The sequence below is a fragment of the Homo sapiens genome, chromosome X, assembly GCF_000001405.40.
Source record: "Homo sapiens chromosome X, GRCh38.p14 Primary Assembly".
Taxonomy (NCBI): domain Eukaryota; kingdom Metazoa; phylum Chordata; class Mammalia; order Primates; family Hominidae; genus Homo; species Homo sapiens.
The window spans coordinates 66,609,393-66,636,862 of NC_000023.11; the positions used below are offsets into that span (position 1 = coordinate 66,609,393).

The window sequence follows — 27,470 nt, forward strand, 5'->3', positions numbered from 1 at the left end:
CAGCCTCACTCACAATGATCCCATCTACCAATGGGATCTGACATGGGCAGTAGTCATTTTACTCATGCTCTAAGTTTCTTGAAAAGTTAAAGGGTTTCTTGGAATCTCTGCTACCTTATGTGCACCACTGGAATGGTGATAGCTTCCATATCTGCTTAAAACAGTGAGCTGGGGGTCAAATTATTAGGAAATATAATGTAGTGATGAAAATCCCTGATCCAAGGTAATGAAGACCTATCTTTAACTCCCACTTTTACTACTGACCAGCGATGTGACCTTGGGCAAGTCATTGGGCCTGAATTTTCTTGTCAATCCAATTGGAAATAATGCTATCCAACTTATAGATTTGTTAAGATTACATGAGCTGACCAAATGAACAAAAGGAATATCCCAAAGCAATGGAGAATAGCTGGCTTTTTAAATAGGTTATGTTGGATAACCGAATGACAATGTGAAAAATGATAAAATTTGATACATTCCTCACACTATACACCAAAATAGATCAGAAATTTATAGATAAAAATTAAAACCAAAAAGTACCAAAACAAAATATAAATAAATTCCTCTTTAATCTGGGAGTGGAGAAATTTTCTCTAACTGCAACACGAAGTCCAGAAGCAGTAAAGGAAAGATAGATATAATTACATAAAAATTTTAAAAAGTTTCAGGGTAAAAGATTCATAAGCAAAATTAGAAGACAAATAATGAACTAGTAAAAAGATGTACACCATATCACAGACTAAAGATTTATATTCCGATAACACAGAACTAGTATAAATTAACGACAACCACCTTATGAGAAACTAAACATATATTCACAGAAAAAGAAACACAAACAGCTCTTATTTAGATAAAGGATGTCTCTTAACCAGATACACAAACACACACACACACACACACACACACACACACACACACACACAGATACATATATAGCTCTGTGTGTGGGTTGTGTGTAGTGCTTGTCACCATGCCTAGAACATAGTAATCCTTCAATGAACAGATGAACATTAGGTATTGTTCTTCTGGAAAGCAAGTTTTTATTCTATCTATAGCACTGGAATCAGAAGATATGTGCCTGACTCCTCACTTACTCACTTGCTAGAGAAGGGAATGACAAAAGCAAGCTAGCATTTATTGAAAGTTAACCAATAAGTTGAGTGATTGATTGATTGATTAATTGGTTAGCACTCCCTTTCATTTTATTGGTTAACTCAGAAAACATTTTTGAAGCAACTACAATGCATGAGGATGCTATTCTGAATATTGTGACTAAATAATTGAATCAATCAGACAAAAATCCACACACTCATGAATTTATATACTTGTTTATTCATCATAAAACCTTATAAGGGTGCAATATAATCCATGTTTCACAAATAAGCAAAATTGAGGCACAAATTGTTGGCCTGAGAAGCCTCTTCCCCATGGGCCTGCGATTCCCCACACACAACTAGAGACAATAGGCTGCAGGGGGCACTTGAGATTCCACCATAAGTAACCAGCTCAAATGCTTCTTTGTCCTGTGGGTCTGAGATTATTTTCCCCCACATAGGAACAGGTGGCTGGGGTATACTGGCAAGTGGTATCCTACTAATAACAAGTGGTCGAGCATGGGAAATGTTCTTTGACTCTACAACTCAGACACTTCTTTATGCCGACCTAAATGGACCAAGTGACCTGGCCCAGGAAATCGTCTATACCTGAGGCAGCACAAGATAAACCCCGCAGACCAAAAATCACACTACAAAGGTTCTGGAAATTAAATAGCCTTTAGAACTGCAGCTCACAAACGTAGGCCAAAACCTGTATGCTAAACATAAACAGATGACTGCCTGCTAAAGTAAAAGTTTAAATAGGACCCTGAGTCTCCTGACATAATTGACAAAATGTCCAGAACACAACGAAAAACCACCCATGATAATAAGAATAAGGAAAATCACAACATGAATGAGAAAAGTCAATTAACTGACAGCAACTCTTAGATAAAGCAGATGTTGGAATGATTGAACAAGGATTCTAAAGCACCCATAATAAAAATGTTTTAAAAAACAATTTAAAATTCTCTTAAAAATAGAAAATCTCATCAAAGAAACAGAAGTTTTTTTTAAATAAACAGATGGTAATTATTAAAAATAAAATGACAGAAATTTTAAAAATTCACTGGATGGGCTTAGTAGTAGAGAAGAGACAGATGATAGAATCAGTGAACTTGAGGACAGAACAACAGAATTTATGCAATATGAACAACAGGGAGAAAATGACAAAATAAAATGAACAAAGCCTCAAGAACCTATGAGACTATAACAAAATATAGAAAAATCATATTGTCAGAATCTTATGAAAAGAAAATTTTTTAAATGTTTATCTAAAAATATTTTCAAACAAATTGGAAGAAAACTTCACAAATTTGGTAAAAGACCTACAAGTTAAAGAGGATGAACAGATCCCAAACAGAAAAAAATCCAAAGTAATGCACACCAATACACATCATAATAAAACTTCTGAAAACTAAAAAAAATATATTGAAAATAGCCAAGAATAAATGGCATTACCTATAGAAAAACACCCATTCAAATGATACGACAGTGGGTTTCTGTCAGAAGCCATGGAAGCCAAGAAGGAAGTATTACATTTTTCAAGTACTGAAATAAAAAAACTGTCAACTGCAAATTTATATCCAGTGAAAGTATCCCCAGAAATGAAGGGACATAAAAACATTCTCAGGCAAAGGAAAACTAACAGAATGAGTTGCTAGTAGGCCTACCCTTAAATAATTCTAAAGAGAGTTCATAAAACACAAATGAAATGATTTAAGAAAGAGTGGAAGTGATAAAAGAAGAAATCTTGGAGCATCAGGAAGGAAGGAACACTGGGAAAGAAAAAATATGGTTGTATAAAATGTACTATCTTTCTCTTCATACATTTTATAAATCATAGTAGATGACTAAAACAAATTTAACAAAAATTATATCTGATATTCGTGACAATGATATTTAAAAGTGGGGAAAGTAAAGGAATCTAAATGGAACAGATATTTCAATACTTCACTTGAAATGGCAAAATGTTGATACCAGCTGACATTGAAAAAGTAACGTGTTAGTTTTTCATGTAATACTCAGAACCACCTCTAAAAAAATGATACAAAGAGACACACTCAAAAACACTACAAATAAATCATGATGGAATCCTAAATAAAATGTTCATGGAACCCACAGGAAGGCAAGAAAAGACAAATAGAGGGACAAAAGAAACAGAGAAAACAAACACAAAAAGAATAAAATGTTAGGTTTAAATCTTAAAATATCAAAGATTATTTAAACATAAATGTTCTAAGTAAGCCAATTAAAAGACAGGGATTGGCATAGTGAAATAAAACCAAAGACTATCAAATTGTACTCAATAAAAATTAAATAAATGAATAATTTTTAATAAATTAAGGAGCAAATTATCATTAAAAATTTATTGAGAATTCTCCTTCATAATTAGGAGGCAAAGGAAGTTCTTTCAAATCATTAAGGTGCAAAATTTCTTTTGCTATTAACCACTTTTATAGCCAGAAAACATTGATATTCTTGATTTTGCCATGGTAGCACAATGCTGATCCAAAATTTTGATGCTGATAGTGTTACAATAATAATTATTTGTTTTAGTTAAAATACTAACTTATACAACATAAAAGGGTATTTACCTTAAAACTATAATCAAGAATGGTTTATACTGGGAATGCAGGATATTTAAATTTTAGGAATTTATTAATACATGTCATCAAATTAATACATCAAAGGGAAAATATATTTACAAATCAACAGATGATACTAAAATGAAACAAAATTTAAAAGCATTTCTGGTTTTTAAATACAAATATACTTACATTTTAAACGATTTTTAAAATACTCTGTTATCTACTATATGTCTGTCTACTTAGGTTCCTTATGTGAGTAGACAAAGAACAATACATAATGAATAGAAAGAATAGAAAGAGAAACAATCAGAAATAGATCACAAAATTGGAAAGGCAAATGGGCAAATAAACACAGTAAAGTTGGTACATTTCCCCTATCAAATAGATAAAAAGTAAAACCAAAATTCTCATAAAGTCCTCATAAATTAGTAATTACTGTTAAAAGGAAGGCATAAAATTAATAGATCATGAAAATATCTATTATTCATTTGCGTTTAGGCTTCTGGGACATGGGAATTTGTTGTGGGAAGTCAGGGACCCCGAACAGAGGGCCACAACAGGAATTCTATGCACTGTTGAAAATAAATGTAATGGTAATAGAAATTAGTATAAACAAAATTCAGAAGTGTTATCTGCTGATATATTTCAAGAGTCTTAAAATCGTACGCATTATTTAGCTTGGCAATTATACATCAAGAAAAATGTCCTGAGGAAATGGTGTTAATTTTCTGCAATGATTTATTTACAGTGATGTTTATAATTCATGAGTAAAATTTAAAAGTAAATAAAAGTTACTTTAAAAAAGGCTATCAGATGCTTCTAGCTGCTTATTCAAACAATTGCCCCTCTTCTTCCTTACTATAAAAACACTGATTTCATTCTAGGTGGCATGAAGACTAGCCTCCAGAACGGATTCTTGATTGGTCTTAATCACACAATCCCATTCTCATTGGCCAGATACTTATTTCCCAGTCTCTATTCCAGCTAAAGATAGCTACATCACCCAGTTCTGGACCATAAGATATAAGGAAAAATCTGTTGGACAGCTTCTGGGAAAAGACTTCTTCCCTACAAAAGGCAAGCTATTTTGACCTTGCCCCTGATTCCTGACTTTGACTATTGTATGGAGATATGATGCTTTGAGTTTTGCAATCATGAGGCCACAATGAGAACAAAACAGCAAGATGTCCAATATGAAGGATGAAAAGAGGCTGAGTCCTTGATAACATTGCTGATCTGCCCAACAAGCAAAAAGGTTGCCTGTCTCCAGACTTCATTACATAAATAAATATACTTATGGTTCATGTCATGGTTAAATTTTATGTTACTTTCAACTTACTACATCCTAATTGATTCTGAGGTGAAATAATTTGCCCAGAGCAAAGATGGGACTCATGCCCATGTGTATCTGGCTCTAAAGCTTATATGTATTACACATATATAAGCTTTAATATCTATTTTAATGTCCAGCATGACCTTACCTCTGGCGATCTTTCCTTGGTACTGGGATCCTTTATCAACCATGTGGGTACCCCACTGTGGGACATAATGCCATGTGTAAAAACTTAGAATTAGTGCTTGTATCTCTTGATATCCCTGCGCCTTATTCTCTTCATTTTTTAAAATACAAAGGTAGGAATAAAGTGGGCTAGATAATTATTATGTTGTTTTCCAGCCACAGATTCCTATAACTTTCCAACCCAAAACCCTCCAAAGAGCTCCTAATGCACTTAGAGAAAGATGAAAATTTCTCATAGACCTCAAGCTGCTATCTGGTCTGGTCTATACTTCTCTCTCTGACCTCTTTGTGTACTACCCTCCCTCTCATTCACCATACACCCATTGCACTACCTTCCTCCTTTTCCTTCAAAATGCCTAGTTCATTTTCACCTTGGGACTCTGCACTAGTATCCTCTCCCCAGAGGCTGTCTCCTTAGGGAGACCTTTCCTTGTTTCATAATCTGAAGTAGCCACCCAGTCACCCTAATTTGATTCTTCTCATATCTTCATATCCAGATTCTTCATTTATCTCTGTATGTGTCTCAATTATTATTTTTTCACTAATAATAGAAGGTAAGGTCCATGAAGGCAAATATTTTTGTTTGTTCTGCCATATCCATGGTGTCTACAACCATGCCTGCCACTCTGCAAGTGTTCAATAAGCAACTGCTGAATAAACAAAAATTGCATAAAATAGAGTGTGAATATGCAGAAACCATCTGCTAGCTGCTTGCTTCTGGCCTCTGTAGCCCCAGCTGCAGCCAAAATTTAATACCACCCCCAAGTTCAGGGACCTACAAGGGACCTGAGGAAAGAACAATTAAGCAGATCCAGGCTTGAAACAAGTAAGTTACATAAAGTCTCTGCCTTGCTGGTCATTTTATTCTGATCCTTATCTTTAATTGGGATTTTAGACCCTCCGTGGTTCCCTATCCCTATATTCTCCATTGCACAGCTTCCTCAGTAGCGCAGACCCTCTAGAACAGAGGTCTTCTTGGCTCTTCTCTCTTTCTCATTCCTAAGACCTGATATCTGGCTCTTGAACACCATGTGGTTGGGCCTTGCTTTAGATGACAGATTACCCTAATGCTGAACAGTCCTCATGGGTCTCTGCATTACACATCTATTCTTGAAATACTCTGTTATCTCATGGAAACTTCCCTTGACCTTGATCCTGCTAGGCTGACTTCATGCTGGAATCATGACTGCTATTGCATACTCTGTGGATCCCAGGTTTTACCCGCTGAACTGGATCAGTCATAAGTAGGGCTGACTCCCCTAATCTTGGCCTCTTTCAGTTGCCGGGCTGGTTCCTAAGATGCAACAGAAATAAGTGTACTGAATAGGATAACTTACCTTGGATAGCTCCTGTCCAGGACCACACCGTTGGCAGGTGACACACCGTCCCCATTGGTCCCAGTACTCATTTTCTTGGCAATCCATGGTGGGAAGGCTGTGGGTAGAGAACACAAGAACTAGCAAGCTAGTGGGAAGGGACTATAAGTAGTGGCTTCCATGCCACTTGGCTTCTGGGTCCCCTTAATCTATTCTCTAGATCTGAGATAGTAGGGACGAGGAAGCCAACACAAAAGAGTTAATGCTTATGTAGCTCTGACCATGTGCCATGAGTTCTTGTAAATGCTTTGCATGTAGTAACTCATTCCATTCTCAAGACAATCATATTAAGAATTATTGTTAGCAACATTTTACAGATGAAGAAACTGAGGCAAAGAGACCAAGCAATTTGCTCAAATTCACAGTCAGTGGCTATACCAGGAGCTGAATTTGTAAAGAGAGTAATAAGACAAGGAGTTGGCTTCTGCCCAGGGGGTAAAGAATAATCACAATCCCTCATGTGTGAACAGATCATAACAATTTAGAAAGTACTTTCACATCTATTATTATTTGATCTACACAACATCCATGTGAGGTAAGCATTATAGAGATTGTCATCTTTATTTTATAACTGAAAAAGCTGAAACATTGTTTCTCTTTGCCAACAGTGGCCTCAGTACCTCTGAGGACCAATACCTGCCATAGCTTCTGTCTTAGGCAGAATGGGAGGGGAGAATAACCCAGAATGTAGACATATTTTGGTGCACAAAGGTGCACAGATAGGGAAACATTACTCAGATAATAGTTCTTGGAATACAGATGCATATAGCAGTAGAGCTAGCATTGAAGTGGGATGGCTGTTCACCAAGCCTGGCTCTTACCCTTTCAATCTACAATCTGGGATGGATCACTTTATCTTTTCTGGCCTCGGTTACTTAATCTAAGAAAAAGGGATAGAATGTTCTTCACCTATTGTATATAGCTCTTGGGAGGGTTAAAGGAGCTAAGGTCCATCAAACCATTCTAAAGAGCTATACAAAATAAGACAGAGTTAAGTATGCAGAAAGGTTGTCTTCTACAAAGAGGAATTTTAATGAAGGGGCTAAAGTAATTCATAAATGGGGCTTATCCTACTCAAAGAGAAAGGTAGCATGAGGTTCTTTACTTACTCATGACTTCATACTAGGGTGAATTTCAAGTGGTTTCTAAAAGTGCCAAAGTCCTAAATGTGTACTCTTAGTCAGAAGAGACGAGAGTGTACATGTGTACCTTGAGAGGCCACCACTCCTCCACTCAAAGTTCCCCAAAAGCGACAGGTTAAGTCATTCTAAATGGCATTCCATAAGTGCACCTTTTTTTCATCATCAACTGGGCCATTCTTTCCCATTCCTTCATTCAAAGGAAAGTGGGCTACAAGATCCATGCTTGCATAAGATAAACATACTGTCTTCTGTGCTGATTTGATTGCTGGCCCATGGTGTTGGCCTCAGTAGGCATGCTTCCCTCCCCTTGCCATGCACTCTTCTCCTTGAGAACAGAAAACTTCAGTATTCTCATAGCCTTCATGACCAGGAAGTTAAGCACCACAGTAACAGGGCCAGGAAACTGCTCTGGACAACTTTCTCATATCCCTTTTTGCCCACAAAACAGAAAAACATTGGCAGGAACCAAGAAGTAGCCCTCTTTTTGAGCTAAGTTCCCAACATAGGCGTTTAAAATCTCCATGACAACTGCTGCTGGCATTTGAGGGTCTGAGACATCCTATTTCATTTGGTTTCTAGAGCTCCACCCCCCTAATAAACATCATGTGTCCTAAACCCCAACATGTCTCTCTAACCATGGCTTTGAAACCTCTGTCTAGGCAAGGCAGGCTTGGTGCCAAATTGAGCAGAGGGACTTTCTCTCCCCTCTTTTTTCCCTCCCTCCCTCCCTTCCTTCCTTCCTTCTTTCCTTCCTTCCTTTCCTCCTTTCTTTCTCTCTCTCTCTCCTTCCTTCCTTCCTTGATGGAGTTTTGCTCTTGTTGCAGTGCAATGGTACAGTCTTGGCTCACTGCAACCTCTGCCTCCTGGGTTCAAGTGATTTTCCTGCCTCAGCCTCCCGAGTAGCTGGGATTACAGGAGCATGCCACCATGCCCAGCAAATTTTTGTATTTTTAGTATAGACAGGGTTTCATCATATTGGTCAGGCTGGTCTCGAACTCCTGACCTCAGGTGATCCACCCGCCTCGGCCTCCCAAAGTGCTGGGATTAAAGGCGTGAGGCACCTTGCCCAGCCTTCCCTCTTTTTTTCTCATACTATTTATTCAAAGCATACAAATTAAATTATCTTTCATTCGACGCTTAACAAATTGACTTTATTAAAGAGAACAAAATTATAGATTCTGGACTCTTTTGAAGAGGTCAGGGCGTATGTGTAAAACTACCTAATAAGGGTTAAATGTCATTACCTAGGGAGAAAGTCAGACCTTATATGAATTTTTCCCTGTAATCAACAGTTTCCTGTAGCATATGTAACCGCCTTTTAAAAGAAAAAATAAGAAAGAATAATTATGTTTTCAGAAAATTATAGTTACTCTGAGGTATTCCATACTGCAGCTAGACACTCTTCCAAAGTATCACAAAGGATGTGGCTGAATCCTCTAAACTTCTGGCTAAGTTGGCAATATATACAGACCTATAAAGTTCCCAAGAGTAGAGACCACTGCATGCCCAGTGCCTAGCCCTGCACCTGGCACAGAGTGTGTACCTCAACAGTGCTTACTATTTGTTAGCTTATCAACATGCTACATTCCCTGGACTATGGTTAACTATGCATATGAATCTAGCAACATAGATCATTTCTCTTTAAGATAATGACTTTCCAAACAATAGTAGTAACCTCACATCCATCAAAAAAAGAGCAAAGCTCTTAGTTAGGGACATGTAGACTTGAGTTTTAATTTTAATTCTGCATCCTCAAACAAATAGTTTTACCTTTGTCAGCATCAGTTTTTTCATCTGCAAAATGGATGTTTAAATAATATACTGCACAGTAATTTAGAAAATTAAATGCAATAATACATATTAAGGGACCAAGTATAGGGCTTGATACATATGAGACGTTTGGTAATTAGCAGGTTCCCTTTCTTCTTTCCTCTTCAGAAGAGTGAGGTTTATAGTAAAAGGAGTGCACATTTGTCATTTTTGGGATGTGTGGGGAAGAAAAAGGAAAGGCACCCAAGCTTCTTCATTGACCATTTCAGCTGGAGCATGAAGGCCATGTTTAAGATGGATGCCACTATAGCAGTTTCCTCCTCATTAATCGCAACCACCAGTGACCTGATGCTTAAGGAAAAGATTCTCCAAGATACCCTCAGTGCCTAAGCCACCTTGGCTAAAAGAAACATTGTTCTAAGTGTTTGCTGGATTTTTTTCATCAAGGCATTTCTGTATAGGATTAACTTGGTCAACAAACGTTTGGAAACTTTTCCGAGACAATTGCCTTTGAAATGGAAGTGAAAAAGAAATAAAATCAGATTTGCAAATAAGTGAGGATGTTATTATGGACTTTATGAAATAGCACATGATTTTCCACAGAACAGTCCCTCTCACCTCCACAACCTAAGGTTATGGCTGCTCAAGAACATTTTTTTCACCCCAACTCTGACATGGGGTTGTGTTCTCTTTACATTACTGAGGGTTGGGGAGAGGAAGGGAAGTGGCAGATGCCTCTTGTCTCAATCCCATGGAGTATAACACATGATGAGGTTCTGATTCTGCTAAAGCGCATCACCCACTCAGTTGTACTGTTTGTCAGCTACACCCTGAAATACTTCCTCCAACTTCCCAACTTGCCCAGAGAATATCTGATCTGTGTAACTCAGAAGTTACACAGATGAGGTAATGTGGAAGTGCTCTAAAAATTCATGTGGGTAACATGCTGGGATTTTTTGTCTGTTTCTGATTGCAGTACAACATATACATAGTAAGGAGCATAAAGATTAAATAAATTAATAAATTTTTACTGTGTACATGCCCATGTAAACACCACCCAAATAAATACACAGAACTTTTCTATTACCCCAGCAGGCTCCCTCACGCCCCTTCCCAGTCAATATCGACTCCTCCCCAGATAATTACAGCACTGGCTTCTATCACTACAATTAGTTATACCTGTCCTTGAAATTCACATAAATTTGAATCATACAAGATGCGCTCTTCTGTTTCTGGTTTCTCTTGATAACTATAATGTCTGTGATAGTTATCCATTATGTTTTGTGTAGCAACATTTGTTAATTACTATTGTTGTGTAGTATCCTATTGTATGGATATACCACAATTTATATATTTTTCTTGGCAAACATTGGACTGCTTTTAATTTGAGGCCATTATAAATTGAGTTGCTATACTATGGTCAATGGATTTTTTAAAGAATGCCAAGAAAATTCAATGAGAAAAAAAATCTTTTCAAAGAAGGGTGTTGGGGAAACTGGATATCCACATGCAAAAGAATCAAATCGGACCCCTACCTCATATCATATACAAAATTAACTCACAATAGACTAAATCCCCAAATGTAAGAGTTAAAACTATAAAACTCTTATAAAAGTTTTCTTACAAGAAAACATAATAATTCTGTAATTAATGTTTTTCTTATAAGAAAATATAGGTGTAAATTTTTGTGACACTGGATTAGGAAGTAGTTGCTTAGATATAACAACAAAAGCACAAGCAACAAGAGAGAAAAACAGAACAATGACATGTCAACAAAATTTAAAAATTAAAAATGTTTGTGCTTCAAAGGACACCATCAAGAAAGTGAAAAGACAATCCACATAATAGGACACAAAAATTTTCATATCACATATCTGATAAGAGACTTGTATCTAAATATATAGAAAACTCTTGCAACTCAAAAAAAGATAGATAATTTAAAAATGAGTAGAGAATTTGAATAGATATCACTCTAAGACTTACAAATGGCCCATAAACACATGAAAAGATGGTCGGTGTTATCAGCAACAAAGGGAATGAAAATGAAAACCACAATAAAACAGCACTTTATATCCACTACCAAAAAAAAAAAAAAAAAAAAAAAATAGCCGGCCAGGCACGGTGGCTCACGCCTGTAATCCCAGCACTTTGGGAGGCCGAGGCAGGTGGATCACCTGAGGTCAAGAGTTCAAGACTAGCCTGGCCAATATGGTGAAACCCTGAATCTACTAAAAATACAAAAATTAGCCGGGGATGGTGGCAGGCACCTGTAATCCCAGCTACTTGGGAGGCTGAGGCAGGAGAATTGCTTGAACCCGGGAGGCAGAGGTTGCAGTGAGCCGAGATCGTGCCATTGCACTCCAGCCTGGGGGAGAAGGATGTGGAGAAACTGGAACCCTTGTGTATTGCTGGCGAGAATACAAAATGATGCAGCCCCTTTGGAAATTAATTTTGCAGTTCCTCAAAATGTTAAACATCATGTTACAACATGACCCAGCAATTTCACTCCTAAGTGTAAATACCCAAAAGAATTGAAAACATGTGTTCATACAAAAACCTGTAAACAAATGTTCCTAGCAGCATTATTTATAATAGCCAAAAAGTGGGGAAAATCCACATGTTCATCAACTGATAAATGGTAAACAAAATGTGGTTTATCCATACAATGAAAATTATTCAGTCAGAGAAAAGAATGATGTGCTTAACATGTGCAATAACATGAATGAACGTTGAAAACATTATGCTAAATAAAAGAAGCTAGACACAAAAGGACAAATGTTGTATGATTCTATTTACATGAAATGTCCAGAATAGGCAATCAATCATAAACTAGCTTTAGTGGATATCAGGGCCTGGGGAGAAAGGGAAATGGGAAGTGACTGCTGAATAGGTATGTTTCTTTCTAGGGTCATGAAAATGCCCTGGAATTAGACAGTGGTGACGGTCGTGTGACTTTGTGAATATGCTAAAACTAGTGAATTATACACTTTAAAAAGGTAAATCTTATAGTATGTGAATTATATCTCATTTTAAAAGATGGTTCTTTAGCTTTATTTAATACTTTGAATTTATTATTCCAATAGGATATTGCTTAAGTTAGCCCCCCAAAAAATGTTAAAGCTGCTATGAATATTTTTACACAGGCCTCCAAATATAATTTGATTCATCCAACTTCTCACCCAAACTTATCCAAGTATGTGTTGTATATACCTTGATTGTGTTTACAAGGGCCAACAAGTGGCAATATGACTAGAATTATTCCCTTATTTTGCCTGTCTGTCATGTGGCTGCTCTTCCCACCCATCTCCCTGTCCTGATTCCTCAAAAAATAATGTAGACGATTAAGAATGCAAGCAGACAGGGAAGAGGAGAAACAATACAGCTGACATCAATAGTAATCCCCAAATTAGCTCATCATGCCCTGAATAATTGATGTTGGCCAAGTTTCTGCTGGATGTGAGGTACCCAGGCTGCTGGGGGTGCAGCTGCTCCTTGCTGCAGCTTGTGGCTGCTGCTCTTCTCAACTTGCACACATGCCTGTGGGGTGAAACATGCTCTCTCTATGTAGTATGGGTAGGCAGGAAAGAAGGACAAGTCTAAATTAAGAACTCAGTACTTCAGGATATTTGCTTTGCCTGGACAGTGCAGGAGGTGTGGGATTAAAAACGATGAAGAAGACAGCAGATGGTCTCCATGCCTTGCCCATTCCTCTACTGCGAGCCCATCTATCCACCCACATGCACAAGACAGAATCAAAGAAGTTGCTCAACGTAGCCTTGAGAACACTGCTTTCTTGAAAATCAAGCTTCTAAACTGTACAGTGCCATCATTTCCAGATGCCTGGCCTGTAATTCAAATGTTGCTTTACCTTTTGGTGTTGGCACTCAGCCTTTCCCTTTTCTGAACTGACCCAAGGCCACTTCTATCCAAGGTTTATCTTGTTTATAACCTCCTTCCAAACTATCAAACATCATATCTTCCTTCTGCCCCACTATTTGTAAAGTTTGCATTTCCTGTTTTAGCTCAGCATAGTGAATGGTCCTAGTCCCAGCTCTGCCATCAGGAGAATATCCCTTCCCAATGCTGGAATCAAGTTCTCCATTCATACCACGAGGGAGTTGGTTTGGCTAATCTCTTAGACCAGTGGTTCTCAGTCTTGGTTGCACCTTGGGAGTGCCAAAAAATAGTGACACCTGGGTCCCTCCCCTAAGATTCTGTTGTAGTTAGTCAAAAATGTGGCATGAGCACGCTACATTTTACAGTTCACCAAGTGATTCTCATGTGCAGTCAATGTTGAAAATCACAGTTTTAAGGGCTCTTTTCTTTTAGTTCTGACCTTGTCTGTTTCACCTGAAAATAAAATGCAGTCAGAAAAAAAGGTTTTTCTGTATCTCTCCCCCATATTCAGAGAGAATCTGTTGAGGGAGAAACCCAAGGTCTATCCATTTTTTTCTAGGGAGAATAGAAAATAAAGATAAAGGGGATAAAACATGTTAGATCATGTCATTTCCAGCCTCAAAAGCCATTGATGGCTCCCTCTTTCACTCATAATATCACATAAGTCCTACACAGTTTTGGATATAACTTAAAAAATGAATGGGTATGTAAAAACATAAAATATACACAGTGATGTATGGCATATAATAAAGAGCTCATATTTTAAAAAATTAAGTTCTTATAATGGCCAATAGAGACCTTAGATGATACGCCTACCTCAATTTCCCCCATTATTTATTGACCTTAAGTTCTACTACTCTTTTCCTTATTGTCTTCACTCCACCCATGCTGGCCTCCTTGTTGAACTTCAAACTAACCAGAAATGCCTTCATCTTAAGGCCTTCACATCTGCTGTTCCCTCAAGCAGGAATGTTCTTCCCCAGATACCTGCATGGCTACTTCCCTCATCTTCTTCAGTTCTTTGTTCATATACAGTCTTCTTAGTCAGGCTTCCCTGACCACTCTCTCAAATTTTCACCTTCTTTCCAGAATTCCTATCCCCGTTTCCAGTTTTATTCTTTTCCATAGCACATATGACCTTATGACATATCATAAATCTTATGTACTTTATTGCTTTTTCTTCCCCAGTTAGAATGTAAATGCTATGAGGCCATGGTACGTATTGTGTTTGCTACTTCATCATCAGTGCTTACAATAGTGCCTGGCACACAGTAGGCATTAAACAAATATTTGTTGAATGATAAAATGGTGAAAATCTACAGAATACTGGGAATACTCTCCTGTCTGAGTAAAAGGTTTCATAGTTTATAAAGGATTTTACATCGATTAGCTCAACAGATCACCATCACATCCCTAGGAGGAAGCTAGGGATTGTTATCAAAAATTAATAAATTTGGGCAGGTGCAGTGGCTCCCGCCTGGAATACCGGCCCTTTCAGAGGCCTAGATGGGTAGATCACATGAGGTCAGGAGTTCAAGACCAGCCTAGCCAACAAGATGAAACCTCAATTCTACTAAAAATACAAAATTGAGCTAGGTGTGGTTGCATGCACCTGTAATTCCATCTACTTGGGAGACTGAGGTACAAGAATTGCTTGAACCCAGGAGGCTGAGTTTGCTGTAAACCAAGATTGTGCCACTGCACTCCAGCCTGGGCAACAGAGCAAGACTCTGTCTCAAATAAATAAATGAATAAATACATTAAAGAAGAAGATCACATGATGAGGAAGGAACAGACAGATCTGAGATCTTGCTCAAGATCTCAGTAAAGAAGTAGAGCTGGGGGATCATCATGGCAGACGGGAGGCAGGACTAGATTGCAATTCCAACTCAGATGGACAGAGCAGTGTGAGGAGGTTTGCATCGTGCATTTTAGCTCCAGGACGACTGCAAGAACAAACCAGGGATCTCGAGAGGACCTACAGACACTCTTAGGAAGTGGACTGCTCCTGCAGGACCCAGGAGACACTCCAAATACTTTGAGCACTCCAACAGCAGAAGTGGGAAAGGGAGATCCTCCATTCCTTAACACACACCCACACTGGGGAAACACTTAACACACTGGGGAAACACACTGGGGAAAGTCTAATTTGCAGGAGAAGTTTCTGACTTTACCTGGAGCTGAGTCAATTTAGAGAGCTGAGCAAAATACAGGGGTAGAGGAAGCAGCGGGAAAAGCCCCGGGAGTTTGCTGGGTCCCCAAGCAGGCCTGGAACCACAGGGAACCTTCAGAAGGGTCGCCAGAGGCACAGGGGAAAATGCCACGGGGAAAAGGAAGTCTCCAGCTGAACTTTGTAACAATTTGAACCAGAAGAGAAGCATCCTGGCCAGAACTTGGGGTAGGGCATGAATCTGGTGTGGAGACTCTAAAGGAGTGGGAAGAACCAAAGCCCTTTTATTTCACAGCTGGGAGGTGGGTAACCTGGGGCAGGTTCTCAAGCCCTACTCACCCATTGCCTGGAAACAGACTTGGGACTGTTATGGGAGCACAGTGGGAGTGAGACTGGCCCTTTGGATTGCATGGGAGCTGGGTGAGGCCTGTGACTGCCAGCTTTGACCCACTTCCCTGACCACCTGCATGACTCAGCAGAAGCAGCCATAATCCTCCTAGGTACACAACTCCATGGATCTGGGAACCTCACCCCCACCCACACAGCAGCCACAGCAAGACCTATCCAAGGAGAGTCTGAGCTCAGACATGCTTAGCTCTACCCCCACCTGATGGGCCTTCCCTACCCACCATGGTAGCTGAAGACAAAGGGCATATACTCTTGGGAGTTCTAGGGCCCCGTGTACTACTGGTTCCTCTCCATACTACCAAAGCTGATGCTCTCTGAAAAGCACCACCTCCTGGCAGGAGGCCAACCACCACAAAAATAGAACATTAAACCACCAAAGCTAAGAACTGTCACAGAGAACATTTCATCCCTTGACACCTCCACCGGAACAGGTGCTGGTATCTACAGCTGATAGACCAATAGATGGTTCACATCACAGGACTCTGTGCAGACAACCCCCAGTACCAGCCCAAAGCCGGATAGACTTGGTGGGTGGCTAGACTCAGAAGAGATATAAAAATCACTGCTGCTTGGCTCACAGGAAGCCACATCCATAGGTAAAGGGGGAGAGTACTACATCAAGGGAACACCCCATGGGACAAAAGAATCTGAACAACAGCCTTCAGCCCTAGACCTTCCCACTGACAGAGCCTACGCAAATGAGAAAGAACCAAAAAAACAACTCTGGTAATATGAAAAAACAAGGCTCTTTAACACCCCCCAAAAATCACACTAGCTCACCAGCAATGGATCCAAACCAAGATAAAATCTCTGATTTACCTGAAAAAGAATTCAGGAGATTAGTTATTAAGCGAATCAGGGAGGCAACAGAGAAAGGTGAAGCCCAATGCAAGGAAATCTAAAAAATGATACAAGAAGTGAAGGGAGAAATATTCAAGGAAATAGATACCATAAAGAAAAAACAATAAAAACTTCAGGAAACAATGGACAAACTTTTAGAAATGCAAAATGCTCTGGAAAGTTCAGCAATAGAATTGAACAAATAGAAGAAAGAAATTCACGACTCAAAGACAAGGTCTTCAAATTAACCCAATCCAACAAAGACAAAGAAAAAACAGAATAAGAAAATATGAACAAAGACTCCAAGAAGTCTGGGATTATATTAAACAATGAAACCTAAGAATAATCAGTGTTTCTGAGGAAGAAGAGAAATCTAAAATTTTGGAAAACATATTTGTGGCAATAACAGAAAAACTTCCCTGGCCTTGGTAGAGATCTAGACATCCAAATACAAGAAGCACAAAGAACACCTGGGAAATTCATCTCAAAAAAAATCATTGCCTAGGCACATTGTCTTCAGGTTATCTAAAGTTAACACAAAGGAAAGAATCTTAAGATCTGTGAGACTGGAAAGGAAAGGAAGAGGAGGGAAGGGGAGGGGAGGGGAGGGGAGAGGAGGACAGGGGACAGGAGGAGAGGAGAGGGGAGGGGAGGGGAGGGAAAGTGTAAAAGCACCAGGTAACCCACCAAGGAAAACCCATCAGATTAACAGCAAATTTCTCAGCAGAAACCCTACAAGCTGGTAGAAATTTGGGCCCTATATTCAGCCTCCTAAAAATATACAACTATCAGCCAGGAATTTTGTATCCACTGAAAGTAAGCATCATATATGAAGGAAAGATACAGTCTTCTTCAGACAAACAAATGCTGAGAGAATTCACCACTACCAAACCACCACTACAAGAACTGCTAAAAGGAGCTCTAAATCTTGAAACAAATTCTGGAAACACATAAAAATAGAACCTCTTTAAAGCATAAATCACACAGGACCTATCAAACAAAAACAAAATTTAAAAATAACAAAAAAGCAAGATACACAGGCAACAAATAGCACAATGAATGCAATGGTACCTCACATCTCAATACTAACATTGAATGTAAATGGCCTAAATGCTCCACTTAAGAAATACAGAACTGCAGAAAGGATAAAAACTCACCAACAAATTATCTGCTGCCTTCAGGACAATCACCCAACACATAAGGACTCACATAACCTTAAAGAAAAGGGATGGAAAAAGGCATTTCATGCAAATGGACACCAAAAGTGAGCAGAGGTAACTATTCTTATATCAGACAAAACAAACTTTAAAGCAACAACACTTAAAAGAGACAAAGAGGGACATTATATCATCATACAAGTCCTTGTCCAACAGGAAAATATCACAATCCTAAACATATATGCAAATAATACCAGAGCTCCCAAATTTATAAAACAATTACTAACAGACCTAAGAAGTGAGACAGACAGCAACACAATAATAGTGGCGAACTTCAATATTCTACTGACAGCAGAGATAGACAGCAACACAATAATAGTGGTGGAGTTCAATACTCTACTGACAGCACTAGACAGGTCATCAAGAGACAAAGTCAACAAAGAAACAATAGATCTAACCTATACCGTGGAATAAATGGAATTAACAGATATATACAGAACATTTCAACCAACAACCGCAGAATACACATCCTATTCAACAGTGCATGGAACTTTCTCCAAGATAGGCCGTATGATAGGGCTCAAAATGAGCCTCCATAAATTTAAGAAAACTGAAATTATATCAAGCACTCTGTCAGACCAAAATGGAATAAAACTGGAAATCAACTCAAAAAGGAACCTTCAAAACCATGCAGATACATGGAAATTATATAACCTGCTCCTGAATGATCACTGGGTCAAATACAAAATCAAGATGGAAATTAAAAAAATTCTTAGAACTGAATGACAATAACAACACAACCTATCAAAAGGACACAGCAAAGGTGGTGCTAAGAGGAAAGTTCATAGCCTTAAACACCTATATGGAAATGACTAAAAGAGCACAAACTGACATTCTAAGGTTGTGCCTCAAGGAACTAGAGAAACAAGAACAAACCAAACCCAAACCCAGCAGAAGAAAGGAAATAACCAAGATCAGAGCAGAACTAAATGAAATTGAAACAACAACAAAAAAAAACACACGAAAGATAAATAAAACAAAAAGCTGGTTCTTTGAAAAGACAAATAAAATTGATAGACCATTAGCAAGATTAACCAAGAAAAGAAGTCAGAAAATCCAAATAACCTCATTAAGAAACAAAATGGGAGACATTAGGACTGACACCACTGAAATACAAAAGGTCATTTCAGGCTACTATGAACATCATTACACACATAAAGTAGAAAACCTAGAAGAGATGGATAAATTCCTGGAAAAATACACCCCCCCAGCTTAAATCAGGAAGAATTATATATCCTGAACAGACCAATAACAGGCAGAGATACTGAAATGGTAATTAAAACATTACCAAAAAAAAAAAAAAATCCAGGATCAGATGGATTCACAACTGATTTCTAGAAGACATTCAAAGAACAATTGGTACCAATCCTTTTGGCACTATTCCACAAGATAGAGAAAGAGGGAAGCCACCCTAATTCATTCTATGAAGCCAGCATCACCCTAATACCTAAACCAGGAAAGGACATAACCAAAACAGAAAACTACAGACTAATATCCCTGATGAACATAGATACTAAAATCCTAACACAATACTAGCTAACTGAATTCAACAACATATCAAAAAGATAATCCACCATGATCAAGTGGGTTTCATACCAGGGACGCAGGGATGGTTTAACATACACAAGGCAATAAATGTGATATACCCCATAAACAGAATTTAAAACAAAAATCACATGATCATCTCATTAGATGAAGAAAAAGCATTCAACAAAGTCTAGCATCCCTTTATGATTAAAACTCTCAACAAAACCAGCATACAACAGACATACCTCAATGTAATGAAAGCCATCTATGACAAACCCATAGCCAACATAATACTGAATGGGGAAAAGTTAAAAGCATTCCCTCTGAGGACTGGAATAAGACAAGCATGCCCACTCTCACCACTCCTCTTCAACATAGTACTGGAAGTCCTCGCCAGAGCAACCAGGCAAGAGAAAGAAATAAAGGGCATCCAAACTGGTAAAGAGGAAGTCAAACTGTCACTATTTGCTGACCATATGATCATTTACCTTGGAAACCCTAAAGACTCCCTCAGAAAGCTCCTAGAACTGATAAAATAACTCAACGAAGTTTCCAGATACAAGACTAAAGTACAGAATTCAGTAGCTCTCCTATACACCAACAGTGACAAAGTGGAGAATCAAATCAACAACTCAACCCCTTTTACAACAGTTGCAAAAAATAATTAAATACTTAGGAATATATCTAACCATGGACGCAAAAAACCTCTACAAGGAAAACTACACAACAGTGCTGAAAGAAATCATAGACGATACAAACAAATGGAAACATCCCATGCTCATGGATGGGTAGAAACAATATTGTGAAAATGACCATACTGCCAAAAGCAATCTAGAAATTCAACACAATTCACATCAAAATACCACCATCATTCTTCACAGAATTACAAAAAAAAAATCTAAAATTCATGTGGAACCAAAAAAGAGCCCACATAACCAAAACAAGACTATGCAAAAAGAACAAATCTGGAGGCATCACACTACCTGATTTCAAACTATACTATAAGGCCATAGTCACCAAAACAGCATGGTACTGGTATATAAATAGGCACATAGACCAATGGAACGAAATCAAAAACCCAGAAATAACCCCAAATACTTGCAGCCAACTGATCTTTGACAAAGCAAACAAAAACATAAAGTGGGAAAAGGACACCATTTTCAACAAATGGTGCTGGGATAATTAGCAAGCCACATGTAGGAGAACGAAACTGGAATGTCATCTCTCACATTACACACAAATCAATTCAAGATAGATTAAGGACTTAAATCTAAGACCCGAATCTATAAAAGTTCTAGAAGATAACATTGAAAAAACCCTTCGAGACATTGGCTTAGGCAATGATTTCATGACCAAGAACCCAAAAGCAAATGCAATAAAAACAAAGATAAATAGCCGGGACCTAATTAAACTAAAGAGCTTTTGCATGGCAAAAGAATCAGTCAGCAGAGTAAACAGACAAACCACAGGGTGGGAGAAAATCTGCACAATATATACATCTGACAAAGGACTAATATCCAGAATCCACAATGAACTCAAAAAAATCAGGTAGAAAAATCAAACAATCCCACCAAAACGTGGGCTAAGGACATAAATAGACAATTTTCAAAAAAGATATACAAATGGCCAACAAACATATGAAAAAATGCTCAACATCTCTAATGATTGGGGAAATGCAAATCAAAACCACAATTTAATACCTCCTCACTCTTGCAAAAATGGCCATAATCCAAAAATAAATAAAAACAGTAGATGTTGGTGTGGATGTCGTGAACAGGCAACACTTCTACACTGCTGGTGGAAATGTAAACTAGTACAGCTGCTATGGAAAACAGTGTGGATATTCCTTAAAGAACTAAAAAGAATCATATATATATATACACACACACACACACACACACACACACAAACACACGTATATATATATACACACACGTATGTGTATGCATATATACATATATACACACACATGTACATGTGTGTATATACGTACATATATACACGTATGTGTGTATACATACATATATACACGTATGTGTGTATGTACATAAAAACACACGTTTGTGTGTATATATACATATACACACACATGTGTGTATATGTATATATACACATATATATTGATGAGATTCGAGACTATTATTCTTAGTGAAGTAACTCATGAATGGAAAACCAAACACTGTATGTTCCCACTGATATGTGGGAGCTAAGCTATGAGGATGCAAAGGCATAAGAATGACACAATGGACTTTGGGGACTTGGAGGGAAGGCAGTGAAGGGGGGCGAGGGATAAAATACTACAAATAGTGTGCAGTGTATACTGCTCAGGTGATGGATGCACCAAAATCTCACAAAACACCACTAAATAACATATCCATGCAACCAAATACCACCTGTATCCCAATAACCTATGGAATTTTTTTTAATTAATAGATTAAAAAATACTGAGGCTCAGAGGGAAAATATACAACTATCTTTATTTGGCTAGCAAAAAGCAAGGCAGAACCCAAAGGTCATTTAGAAGCTATGAGTCTGGCACACTTTTCAAGGCAGTATTGAACTCTAAAATAGAGAATGGAGGTCCTCCCAGTCTTCACTGAAATTTTTTCTTCAGTGATATTTCAGGATGGGCAAAAAAGCATTTTATTAATGTTAACCTGAGTGCATTTTAAATAATGGTTTGATAGGGTTACTGCCCAAGCTTTAGGAGACAAGGGCCAGGTCAAAGGTGGTTACAATAGGAACAGAGAGGAATGATGGTGGGAGATACAAACCTTACAAAGTGAAGACAAACAGAATGACCAGAGTTAGAGATTCTGGGAGTTTCTGCCTGGGAAACCAGAAGAATCTAAGTGCCATGAGAAGCGTGAAAGGAGCGCAGCTTGGTAAAAGAAAAGAAAATGCACTGTTTTTCAATTATTTTCAGTATAGAGAAGTTGAAGGGGACAGAGGAACATTTCAGTGGTCATGCCCAACAAGCATATACAATATGTAAAATATAAGTTGAAGTTGGAGATGTGTCAAATGCATAAAAACACCAGAATAACAGTTCTTGCTTATGGCTGCACATCAGAATCATATGGAGCACTGAAAAAAAAATCCTACGCTCTAGATTAATTAAATAAAAACCTCTGGGGTTGGAATAACCACTGGCCGAAGTAAATCATGGCAGAAGTTAAATCATGGGTAAAGAAGAATGGCTGGATGCAGTGGCTCCTGCCGGTAATCCCAGCACTTTGGGAGGTCGAGGCAGGTGGATCACTTGAGGTCAGGACTTCAAGACCAGTCTGGCCAACATGGCGAAAAACTGTATCTACTAAAAGTACAAAAATTAGCCAGGCGTGGTGGTGCATGCCTGTAGTCCCAGCTACTCGGGAGGCTGAGGCAGGAGAATCGCTTGAACCCTGGAGGCAGAGGTTGCAGTGAGCCGAGATTGTGCCACTGTACTGCAGCCTGGGTGACAGATTCTCAAACAAAGAAGAAGAAGAAGAAGCAGGAGGAGGAGGAGGAGGAGGGTGAGGAGGAGGAGAAGGGAAGAAGGAAGAAAGAAGGAAGAAGGAAGGAAGAAGAAAGAGGAAGAAGAACCAAACATTGAGGGTCACTCATACTTGAAGCTGGAAGAGGAGGAATACATGACAGCAACGAAGAAGGGGAAGCCAGAGAAGAAAAAAAAAAAAAAGAACCTTGATAGAGTAGAATAGGACAAAGCTTTAAGAAGTAAGGGATGAGTAATGTGTCAGCTATTGATACTGGGACGTGGAGGAGGCCAGGACTGAGGATGTGTCATTTTTATTTTATTTCATGGGCATGTGATAAAAGTAAATTATCTTTTTGTGTTTAAGTATACTAAAATCTGTGCCTGGAATAGACATAATGTAGAGACCACAGGTGGGTACTACAGTTTTTAATGGGCTACTTTCAACATTTCCAAAGTGGCTGAAGAATTTTAACTGTTAGTGATAGCAACATCTGGCCCAGCAATGTCAGGAATAGTATATCAACAGAGGAGAATGAACCTGCGCAAAATTAAAGAAGTCTCATCTATTCTCCTTTGTCTTTTATTCTAGCGCACAGAGCAAGAGGTAAAGCCCCAGCTGGGGAAGAAAAAGAAAAAAAAATCCTTACTAAAAGCTGTTGTCATTGTACAGACAAAATTAATAACCAACTGAACTGGGCTACTTCCACTTGGCCAAAAGTAAATGCTAACCATATGAGTCAATTGTTTTGCCTTCAAAACATGCGTACGTGCACAAAGACAACAAACAAAGCACAAACCTCAAAAGACAAATACAACTTAGCAGACTGTAAATTAAAAATATAAATATTTGGTTAGTGTTTGGCAACTGCTGAAAAATAATTGTTAAACGAATGGGGAAAAGAGACTGTGTAGCCAAGAATACAAAGATACCATTATAAAAGAAATAGGATGAAATTAAGAACAGCAAACTCTAGGCTGATTTTGAGGGAAAACGTTCTTCTACTGACTGCTAAAATACTCTTCCCAAGTGGGAGCAAAAGCACAGAAACTACCCTGGATTATGTTCAAGGGTAAAATGAGATAATGTATGTGAGAGTGCTGTGGAAACTCCAGATTGTGCTACGTATGTGAGGAGTTGCTATGATTGTTGTTACTATCCCACCCAGAGCTGGGGAACAAAGGGTATTGGAGACAAGCCCCAAGCCAGACCGGCACTCAGCTAACACCTGAAACCTCTTGCTTTGCTCTGCTGTTATCCTAGCCAAAGTGAGTCACTGGTCATGTACCAATCACCACAAGATTCCATAAAATTACGGTATAATAAAAAAATTAGTTACTCAACCAGCAGTACTGGAAGGGGAGATAAGCTGACTTCCCAAGAAGGCTTTTGGCTGAGTTGTCCCAGTTGGGTATTGAATTCATGGTATGATTTATTTGCAGGATTGGGACTGGATAAAACTCAGTCAAGTACTCCAATTTCTGATTTCTATTAAGTTTGTTGGTCTTGCCCCACACTCCCTCCACCCTGTCCCATTTACCAAGCAATCTGGAATAGCTGTATCTGAAGATGTCAACAAGAACAGTCTCTTTTTTTTTCCCATGGCAATCAAGTACTCCATCCCATCCTCATAGGCCTGGGAATAAAATATCCTAAAGGAGCAGAGATACAAACCAGTGGGCATTTACAAGCCCAACCCAGGTCCACATCCTTAACAAAGGACTGGAAGAATACAATGAGAACTATAGAATGAGGCATGTCTGTACAAAATGAAATGCTGCTGCCAAAATATTTCTTCATTTTTTCTTTAGATGTCCAAGAAAAGGGAGAAAGGTATAGTACTTTGTGAGGTTGTGGAGGGAAGGTGAGACTGATAACAAGAAGCCTATGACCTCATATGTAAATGCACATTCTTTGAGACCATTTTTAGACTCTGACAATCTTAGAGTCAAAGGGAGGTTTAAAATTAATCTTAGTCCCAGTGGCCTTTTGCCCAGTAAAGAAATACCATCCAGCTCTACTTGAAGTCCTTTAGTAACAGGCACCTCAGTACTCATAAGACAGCACATTCCATCATTTGTTTTTTTTTTCCTCCTCTTTGGCAACCAGTTAAAACTTCAAGCTATCAGATAATTGAAAACATATAGTCATGGGATCCTAAAAGTATTATTCAGGACAACTTAACCCCATTCCCTGATGATCTAAGATGAGGAAACTAATGCTCAGAAAAGGGATAGAATTTTCCCAAAGTCACACAGTGGTCAATGGTAGAGCTAAAAGTAGAATTCAAGTCTGCATATTCAGGGCCCAGTGGCTTCTCTACTTCCCATATACGAAGAAAGGAGTTGGCCCAGCTTTAGGACCAATTACTCAGTGACTATACTACCAAGGCTCCAGCTTCTTTTTCCTAACTCCCACAGCCCAATAATGGCTCATTTTATCCTCAACAGAAACAATTCCAAAGGGTGGGCTGGGTCATGGAGAGGTGGATCGTAGAAGGGAAGAAGTAATGCCCACTCTTTTTGGCTTAACCACAACGGTGACTAACAATCTCCTGGAAGTAGGACATCTCAGTGTCTGATTCCACCATATATTACATGGAAAATCCTTTATTTTTGAGAATAGCATGATGTCTTTTGGTGGTGTTTGGAAGATATAATAACTGTTGTCATCCCAAGATAGGGAGAATTAATTTCTGGTCACTCAGCAACCACTTGATGAGTACTTTCTATGCTAGGCATTCTATTAGAACTTAGTGGCAAGAGAAAAAAACAGAGGTGAATAAACCATATTCTCCAAATTTAGGAGATTGCAGTCTGGTGGGGAACATAGAAAATATATACAGTAAACTCTAATCCAAGACAAAGTATAGCCATCCTCATATCTATGTTCACAAAATAATAGTAGTCGTATTTTACATACTGATGGTGAAACTTACCCATATCTTTCCTGTTAAGCTCCCAAGAAGAGAATACACGGGTGGAGCTAGTTTCTAGAAAGAAAGCAGTGAAAAGCAGCTTCTGCTTCAATATGAAGCTTCAGCACTGAGGAATGGCTCCAAAAGATGACTCACTCTCTGCAGGAAGCATTCAAGTGGAGAAGGTCAAGAAGACATCTAAAGAAAGGAATTCTCTCAAAGAGGGAATAACTGGTATAAGGTAATTGGAGGATCCCTCTTTTTTTTGACTCATTCTTTAGTGCCAGAGTTGGCGTAATTGCCCAGCTATCTATCACCTTAAACCCTAACAGCTGTGGAAAATGAAAAGCCATACTGAACTTGGAGTAAGAAAAATGTGTCTTGCAGTTCTGGCACAGATGCTTACTAACTAAATGATCTCTAGCAAGTTTCATTTTCTCTAGGCCTGTTTGGCCACCTGTATAATATATATAAATAAATCTGCAATTCCCTCATTTGGGGATAAGGAATCAGTGGGATGATGGATTTGAAAGTATTTAGCACATAGTGGAAAAAATGATTTATATTCTTTAATTTTTTTTTGAGATAGGGTCTCACTTTGTTGCCCAGGCTGGAGTGTAGTGGCATGATCATAGCTCACTGCAGCCTCAAACTCCTGGGCTCAGGAGATTCTCCTGCCTCAGCCTCCCAAGTAGCGGGCACTACAAGTGCCCAGCACCCAGTGCCCAGCTATTTAAAAAAATTTATATAGACAGGGTCTCTCCATGTTTCCCAGGCTAATCTTGAACTCCTGGGCTCAAGCCCTCCTCTCGCCTATGCCTCCTAAAGTGCTGGGATTACAGGAATGAGCCACCCTTCCTGACCAGAAAAAAATAATTTAAAAAATAATAAATTACAAGGAATTTTGTCACATTTACCCATCCTGTTCCTTTTGCAGTATTCCTCATCACTATGAAGACATACTCATACCCCAATTTATATACTTCAAAACCACAGAGTCATATTTGACTTGATACCATGCCAGATAAGAAATGATACAATTATCTGAGCTGTTTGACCTGGGAGCAGAAGATGCAGGGGGATCTGATCTCTGGTCTTCAGATCTCTGAAAAACTGTCATGGAAGAAAAAGAACAGACTGCTCTAGGTGGCCTCAGGGAGAATGACTAGGATATCCAGGTACAAGCTTTAGGAAAACTAAGTTCAGCTTAGCAAAAGGAAGAACTTTTAACAGTCCAAGGCTTTCCCTGAAGACAGTGGGCTCTCTCAGGAAGCAGTAAGGAACCTCCCTCTAGAAGTGTTCAAGCAGAAACTGGCAAGGATGTTTTAATGTGGAATCCATTAGGGTAAAGGAAAATTACAATTCATGAAATTCTACTTGTCAGGCACTGTGCTAGACCCTTGGCAGGAAATATATCTTTTAATCCTCCCAATAACACCATGATGTGAGTACTGTTATCCCTCTTTTTCAGGTTAGAAAGCTGAGGCTCAAAGAATTTGACTACTTCTCATTGGGCTTACTACTGG

General features: G+C 38.6%; 1 protein-coding gene across 53 annotated transcripts in view, besides 2 other annotated features; it reads right to left on the bottom strand.

Annotated features, from left to right (window-relative positions):
* The window catches only part of EDA2R (ectodysplasin A2 receptor), a 43,633-nt gene that overhangs the window by 13,756 nt on the left and 2,407 nt on the right, over positions 1 to 27,470 (bottom strand). For 41 of the 53 annotated variants that reach the window (NR_136726.2, NR_136727.2, NM_001324202.2 and 38 more), the window contains 1 exon segment: positions 6,542 to 6,638. Coding sequence is in view for 51 of the 53 variants with exons in the window: in XM_047442321.1 (XP_047298277.1) it covers positions 6,542 to 6,628 (87 nt within the window). In the remaining 2 variants the exon portion in view is untranslated. 53 annotated transcript variants of the gene reach the window in all.
* Positions 16,110 to 16,159: an enhancer, noted in NCBI's record as "active region_29722". NCBI's record gives its function as "activates an Ori minimal core promoter by ATAC-STARR-seq in GM12878 lymphoblastoid cells {active_cell/tissue: GM12878}" and the evidence as "EXISTENCE:reporter gene assay evidence [ECO:0000049][PMID:35858748]".
* Positions 25,931 to 27,130: an enhancer, noted in NCBI's record as "CDK7 strongly-dependent group 2 enhancer chrX:65855165-65856364 (GRCh37/hg19 assembly coordinates)". NCBI's record gives its function as "activates an origin of replication core promoter dependent on BRD2, BRD4, P300/CBP, MED14 and CDK7 cofactors, with strong dependence on CDK7, by STARR-seq in HCT116 cells {active_cell/tissue: HCT116}" and the evidence as "EXISTENCE:reporter gene assay evidence [ECO:0000049][PMID:35650434]".